At 46.1% G+C, this 7,224-nt stretch overlaps 1 long non-coding RNA gene across 1 annotated transcript; it reads left to right on the top strand.

The window, feature by feature from the left end:
• The first annotated feature begins 809 nt into the window (after window positions 1–809).
• LOC105377754 (uncharacterized) lies at window positions 810–5,699 on the top strand. The gene is made up of 3 exons (XR_941302.3): window positions 810–974; window positions 3,011–3,110; window positions 5,495–5,699. It is a non-coding gene; the product is annotated as an uncharacterized LOC105377754 (long non-coding RNA).
• Window positions 5,700–7,224: the final 1,525 nt, after the last annotated feature.

Genomic DNA, 7,224 nt, shown 5'->3' with positions numbered 1-7,224 from the left:
TCCCAACCTTTTTTTTGAGATGGAGTTTCGCTCTTGTTGCCCAGGTTGGAGTGCAATGGAGCAATCTCGGCTCACCACAACCTCCGCCTCCCAGGTTCAAGCAATTCTCTTGCCTCAGCCTCCCGAGTAGCTGGGATTACAGGCATGCACCACCACGCCCGGCTAATTTTGTATTTTTAGTAGAGACGGGGTTTCTCCATGTTGAGGCTGGTCTCGAACTCCTGACCTCAGGTGATCCGCCCGCCTCGGCCTCCCAAAGTGCTGGGATTACAGGCGTGAGCCACTGCACCCAGGCTTCCCAACCATTTTAACATCAGGACATTCAGAAATTTTACTTCATTTGAGGCTGGGCACAGTGGCTCACACCTGTAATCCCAGCACTTTGGGAGGCTGAGGCAGACAGATCACTTGAGGTTGGGAGTTCGAGACCAGACTGGCCAACATGGTGAAACCCCGTCTCTATGAAAAATACAAAAATTAGCTGGCTGTGGTGGCTCACATCTGTAATCCCAGCTACTCAGGAGGCTGAGGCAGGAGAATCACTTGAACATGGGAGGTGGAGATTGCTGTGAGCCGAGATTGTACCACTGCACTCCAGCCTGGGCAACAGAGCAAGATTGCATCTCAAAAAAAAAAAAAAAAAAAAAATTTTACTTCATTTGTGTATTTTGAGGCCACGTTAACAGGTGACTGAAAGTTAGAAATACTATGCCATCCTGGGAAATTAAACCTTTATTATTATATAGTGATGTGCTTTGCCTCTAGTTTTTGTTTTTTTTTTTAACTGAGTCTATTTTTGTCTGAGACAGGAAGGAATCCCCTCTCCCACCTGCTAAGCTGCCTTTAGTGCCTCTCATTGGCAGAAGCTAACAGGAAGTCAGCTGGCAAGGGAGCTGAAAAATGTGGCTTGCAGACCCTAGCCCCAGCATCTCAGAGCAGATTATAGAAGGGTGAGCGTAGACCAGAAACCAGAGGTAAATAACCAGCACTATTATCTATGTTTTTATGATTTTCTTGTTGTCTTTGATTTCCTACATTTTCACCATGATGGGTCAAGTGTGAATTTCTTTTTTTTTTTTTTTTTGAGATGGAGTCTCGCTCTGTCCCCCAGGCTGGAGTGCAGTGGCGTGATCTCCACTCACTGCAAGCTCTGCCTCCCAGGTTCACGCCATTCTCCTGCCTCAGCCTCCCAAGTAGCTGGGACTACAGGCATCCGCCACCACGCCCGGCTAATTTTTTGTATTTTTATTAGAGACGGCGTTTCACCATGTTAGCCAGGATGGTCTCAATCTCCTGACCTCGTGATCCGCCCGTCTCAGCCTCCCAAAGTGCTGGGATCACAGGCGTGAGCCACCGTGCCCGGCTGTGAATTTCTTTTTTAAAATTCTGCTTGGCATCTATTGGAGTTCTTAAACCTATAGATTGATGTCTTCCATCCATTCAGGAAAATTCTCAACCACAATTTAATATACTGTCTGGTCTGGGGGTCTGGGTCCTCTTTCTCCCCTTCTTCTGAGACTGCAATTAAACATATGTAAGACAGTCTCACTGTAACTTCCATATCTGTAGTCTTCCCTTCTGCATTTCACATCCTTGTGTCTCTCTATGCTTGTTTCTGGATTGTTTTTTCTGACCTGCCTTCTAGTTCTCTAACTCATTTTTCATCCACGTCAAATCTGCTGTTAAACCCATCCATTGAGCTTGAAGTTTTAGTTTGAATTTTTCTTTTTTCTTTTTTTTTTTTTTTTGAGACTGAGTCTCGTCCTGTCACCAAGCTGGAGTGCAGTGGTGTGATTTTGGCTCATTGCAACTTCTGCCTCCCAGGTTCAAGTGATTCTCCTGCCTCAGCCTCCCAAGTAGCTAGGACTACAGGCACACACCACCACACCCAGCTAATTTTTTGTATTTTTTTTTAGTAGAGACGGGGTTTCACCATGTTGGCCAGGATGGTCTTGATCTCTTGACCTCATGATCCACCCGCCTTGGCCTCCCAAAATGCTGGGATTACAGACGTGAGCCACTGAGCCTTACCTGTAGTTTGAATTTTTTAGTCATAGACTTTTTTTTTTTTTTTTTTTTTGAGACTGAGTCTTGCTCTGTCACCCAGGCTGGAGTGCAGTGGCACAATCTCTGCTCATTGCAACCTCGGCCTCCTGGGTTCAAGTAATTCTCCTGCCACAGCCTCCCGAGTAGCTGGGATTACAGGTGCACACCACCACGCCCAGCTAATTTTTATATTTTTAGTAGAGACGAGGTTTTGTCATGTTGGCCAGGCTGGTCTCGAACTCCTGGCCTCAAGTAATCCCCTTGCCTCGGCCTCCCAAAGTGCTGGGGTTACAGGTGCAAGCCACTGCACCTGGCTGACTTTCTATTTATTTCTTTTTCACATATGCTATATAATTTATAGAGCTTCCAGTTCCTTGCTAAAATTTTCAATTTTGGCATTTAATTTCTTGAACATAATACTACTAATTTGTTTTATAGTCTGGAGTTCCTCTGGCTCTATTTCTATTGACTGTTATTTCTGATGATTTTAGCTCAAGGAATCTTGCTTCCTCATGTGTCTTTATTTTTGTATGTTAAACATTGTGTTTCTGAAATTATTTGTAGAACTAATTTGAAATGGAGTGATTTTCTCATTCACCAAAGAGTCTTTCCTTCCTTCCTTCCCTTCTTTCTTTCTCTCTTTCTTTTTTTTTTTGGATGGAGTCTCACTCTGTCACCCAGGCTGAAGTGCAGTGGTGCAATCTCGGTTCACTGCAACCTTCCACTCCCGGGTTCTAGTGATTCTCCTGCCTCAGCCTCCTGAGTAGCTGGGATTACAGGTGACCACCACCACACCAAGCTAATGTTTGTATTTTTGGTAGAGATGGGGTTTCATCATGTTGGCCAGGCTGGTCTCAAATTCCTGACCTCAAGTGATCCTCCGAACTTGGCCTCCCAAAATGCTGGGATTACAGGCGTGAGCCACTGCGCCTGGCCAAAGAGAATTTTCTATTGCTTTTGCCAGGTGCCTGGAGGGATCAGCAAACTGAGATCATTGGAGTTCATACTTAGGGCATGGTGTTTTCTCGGGAACCTGGGTGACTCAAACCTGGACTATCATTCAGGTAAGGACGGCTTTACTTTCAGTTCACCTTTACTTCTGAAATGCAGTCCTTTGGGGGCTGACTCGCGTGTGGGAGGCAGCTTATCACCCACACTCTTGGCAGGCCCCAGACTTAGATATTTATCTCCAGGCATGCAAAGCCACTGAAAGTGAGCTTAGCCTCTCAGCCCTTCTTTTCAATTGGCAAAAGCTTCCAGGGCAACTGCAGCCTCAAGTATCTGGGTCACCTCTTGGGAATCCTGTTCTCTCTCAGATTCAGCATGGCAATTCTTCACTACTTTGTTAGCTCTTTAATGCTTTTTTTTGACATGGAGTTTTGCTTTTGTTACCCAGGCTGGAGTGCAATGGTGTAATCTCAGCTCGCTGCAACCTCTGCCTCCTGGGTTCAAGTGATTTTCCTGCCTCAGCCTCCTGAATAGCTGGAATTACAGGTGCCCACCACCATGCCTGGCTAGTTTTTGTATTTTTAGTAGAGATGGGTTTCACAATGTTGGACAGCCTGGTCTCAAACCCCTGACCTCAGGTGATCCACCCACCTCGGCCTCCCAAAGTGCTGGGACTACAGGCATGAGCCATCACACCCAGCTTTTGTTTTTGTTTTTGTTTTTTTTTTGGAGACAGAGTCTCACTCTATCGCCCAGGCTGAAGTTCAGTGATCTTGGCTCACTGCAACCTCCGCCTCCCGGGTTCAAGCTGTTCTCCTGCCTCAGCACCCCCGGAATAGCTGGGATTACCAGTGCCTGCCACCATGCCCGGCTAATTTTTTTTGTATTTTTAATAGAGACAGGGTTTCACCATGTTGGCCAGACTGGTCTCGAACTCCTGACCTCAGGTGATCCGCCCACCTTGGCCTCCCAAAGTGCTGAGATTACAGGCATGAGCTACCATGCCTGGCCTCTTTGATGCTTTTAAGATTGTGTGTGTCAACTGGACATGGTGGCTCATTCCTGTAATCCCAGCACTTTGGGAGGCTGACCTGGAGGATGGCTTGAGGCCAGGAGTTCAAGGCCAGCTTGGGCAATATGGCGAGACCCCATCTCTAGAAAAATTATAAAAAATTAGCTGGGAATGGTGATGTGTGCCTGTAATCCTAGCTGAGGCAGGAGGATCTTATGAGCCCAGGAGTTTGAGGTTACAGTGAGCTATGATCAGGAGACTGCAGTCCAGCATAGGTGGCAGAGCAAGACCCTGTCTCTTAAAAAAAAAAAAAAAAAAAAAATTGTGTGTGTGTGTGTGTGTGTAAATTTTTAAAACACTTTTGTAGCTGTTTTTATCAGGAGGTTTTGTCCGAAGTACCTAGTCTGCCTTTACTGAAAGGGGAGGTCCTGGTTTACTTTTTAAACTATTTTTATTTTAATTTAGTTTTTTTTTTTTTTTTTAATTTTTAGAGATGGGGTCTCACTATGTTGCTTAGGCTGGTCTCAAACTCCTGGCCTCAAGCAATTCTCCTACCTCGGCCTCCCAAAGCGCTAGGATTACAGATGTGAGCTTCCACGCCCACCGACTTTTTAAAACTATTAAACAATGAGTGTGGGTGATGGATCAGAGGGTACAACGGTGGTTTCGAGGAGACTAGTTGTCCAGAGAGCAAGAAGAAGATACCATGAGCTTGGATGAGGGCATTGGAAGTAGAGCTGGAAAGAGAGCAGATTTGAGAGATACCCTGGCTGTTGAGTTGATAGGACTTGGCATTAGGTTTGTTTGGGGGGTGAGAGAGGTGAGGGTGGTGGGTGCCCTGAGTTTTTGGCATGAGTAACTGGACGGTCCCAGTCGAAGACAGGGTGTCTGAAAAGGAGGACAAGTTGATGAAAGAAGGGTCAGCAGGCCGGGCGCAGTGGCTCACACCTATAATCCCAGCACTTTGGGAGGCCAAGGCAGGAGGATCATTTGAGGTCAGGAGTTAAAGACCAGCTTGGCCAACATGGTGAAACCCTGTCTCTACTAAAAATACAAAAATCAGGCACTTGCCTGTAGTCTTAGCTACTTAGGCAGCTGAGGCACAAGAATCTCTTGAACCTGAGAGGCGGAGGTTGCCGTGGGCCCAGATTGTGCCCCTGCACTCCAGCCTGGGTGACAACAGAGTGAGACTCTGTCTCAAAAAAAAAAAAGGTTAGCAGTTTGCCTTTGGGCATATATGTCTGATGAGGTTTTGGGACTTCCAAGTGAGAATGTCCCATGGGCAGTTGGTTATTTGAGTCTGGAATTCAGGTAGTGATGTATAAAATTGGGAGTTTTCAACAGATGGGGGCATTTTCAACCTGCTTTGATTGGTGCTTATCTTGAATCGAATTATTTTAATTATAGCCTGAGCAACATAGTGAAACCCTGTCTCTACAAAAATTTTTAAAAATAGCTGGGCATGGTTGTGTGTGCCTATCATTCCAGCTACCCGGGAGGCTGAGGCAGAACAGCTTGAGCCCAGGAAATCAAGGCTGCAGTCAGCTATGATCACACCACTGTGCTCCAGCATGGGCGACAGAGCAAGACCCTGTCTCTGACAGAAAAGAAAGGAAAGGAAAGAAAGGAATATTTTAATCAGAGTATTTGCCAACACTGATTGTTTTGTCAATAAAGCATTCTTGGAACAAGAGGCATTAAAGTAAATTAATTGATTGATAAAATGTAAGTACGGGGCCAGGCGCGGTGGCTCATGCCTGTAATCCCAGCACTTTGAGGGGTCAAGGTGGGCAGATCACCTGAGGTCGGGGGTTCAAAACCAGCCTGACCAACATGGAGAAACCCCATCTCTACTAAAAATACAAAATTAGCTGGGTGTGCGCATGTCTGTAATCCCAGCTACTCGGGAGGCTGAGGCAGGAGAATCGCTTGAACCCGGGAGGCGGAGGTTGCGGTGAGCCAAGATTGCTCCATTGTACTCCAGCCTGGGCAACAAGAACGAAACTCCATCTCAAAAAAAAAAAAAAAAGAAGGCCGGGCACGGTGGCTCATGCCTATAATCCCAGCACTTTGGGAGGCCGAGGCAGGCGGATCACGAGGTCAGGAGATTGAGACCATCCTGGCTAACACGGTGAAACCCCGTCTCTACTAAAAATAGAAAAAAAAAATTAGCCAGGCGTGGTGGTGGGCGCCTGTAGTCCCAGCTACTCGGGAGGCTGAGGCAGGAGAATGGAGTGAACCTGGGAGGCAGAGCTTGCAGTGAGCCGAAATCGCGCCATTGCACTCCAGCCTGGGCGACAGAGCGAGACTCCGTCTCAAAAAAAAAAAAAAAAAAAGTAAATATGGCACAGTCAAACCACTTATTTTTTGCATAAAAATTTTATTTTGTGGAAATTATTTTCACTGGTATCAATTTAATTCAATTTTTAATTTGAATTTAATTTAATTTGATTCAATTTTTTTCTTTTTTGAGATGAGTTTCACTCTGTTGCCCAGGCTGGCATGCAGTGGCGTGATCTCAGTTCACGGCAACCTCGGCCTCCCAGGTTCAAGCAATTCTCCTGCTTCAGCCTCCCAAGTAGCTGGGATTACAGGCACCTGCCACCACGCCTGGCTAATTTTTGTATTCTTAGTAGAGATGGGGTTTCTCCATGTTGGCCAGGCTAGTCTTGAACTCCTGACCTCAGGTGATCCACCCACCTCGGCCTCCCAAAGTGCTGGGATTATAGGCGTGAGCCACCGCACCCGGCCTGATTCATTTGTTAAACAAAATTGATTTCTTCATCATCTGTTTGCATTTCCTTTTGCAGCCATTGTTTCTACCAAGCCCCAGTCTCTTGGATAGGATTTTGCAGATCTAAGTTATTTAAAGAAGATTTGGCTTTTCTGTCATTTTAAAGTTAATCATAAATTTTACCCAGTGCAGGTTTAGCAGTGGTCAATTTTATTTTGTGGTGTGGGGTGGAAAAGTGATCATTTCTATGCATTTCTTAGGGAATCCAAGAAAAATTTTTGAGCAGTTTTGTGAACAATAGAGAGAGGAGGCGCCGGGCGCGGTGGCTCACACCTGTAATCCCAGCACTTTGGGAGGCTGAGGCGGGTGGATCACGAGGTCAAGAGATGGAGACCATCCTGGCTAACATGGTGAAACCCCGTCTCTACTAAAAATACAAAAATTAGCCAGGCGTGGTGGCACGTGCCTGTAGTCCCAGCTACTT

Source organism: Homo sapiens, chromosome 5 (assembly GCF_000001405.40).
Source record: "Homo sapiens chromosome 5, GRCh38.p14 Primary Assembly".
NCBI classification, from domain to species: Eukaryota; Metazoa; Chordata; class Mammalia; order Primates; family Hominidae; genus Homo; species Homo sapiens.
The sequence above is the reverse complement of the archived record's forward strand: the minus strand, read 5'-3'. Positions and strand labels throughout refer to the sequence as shown.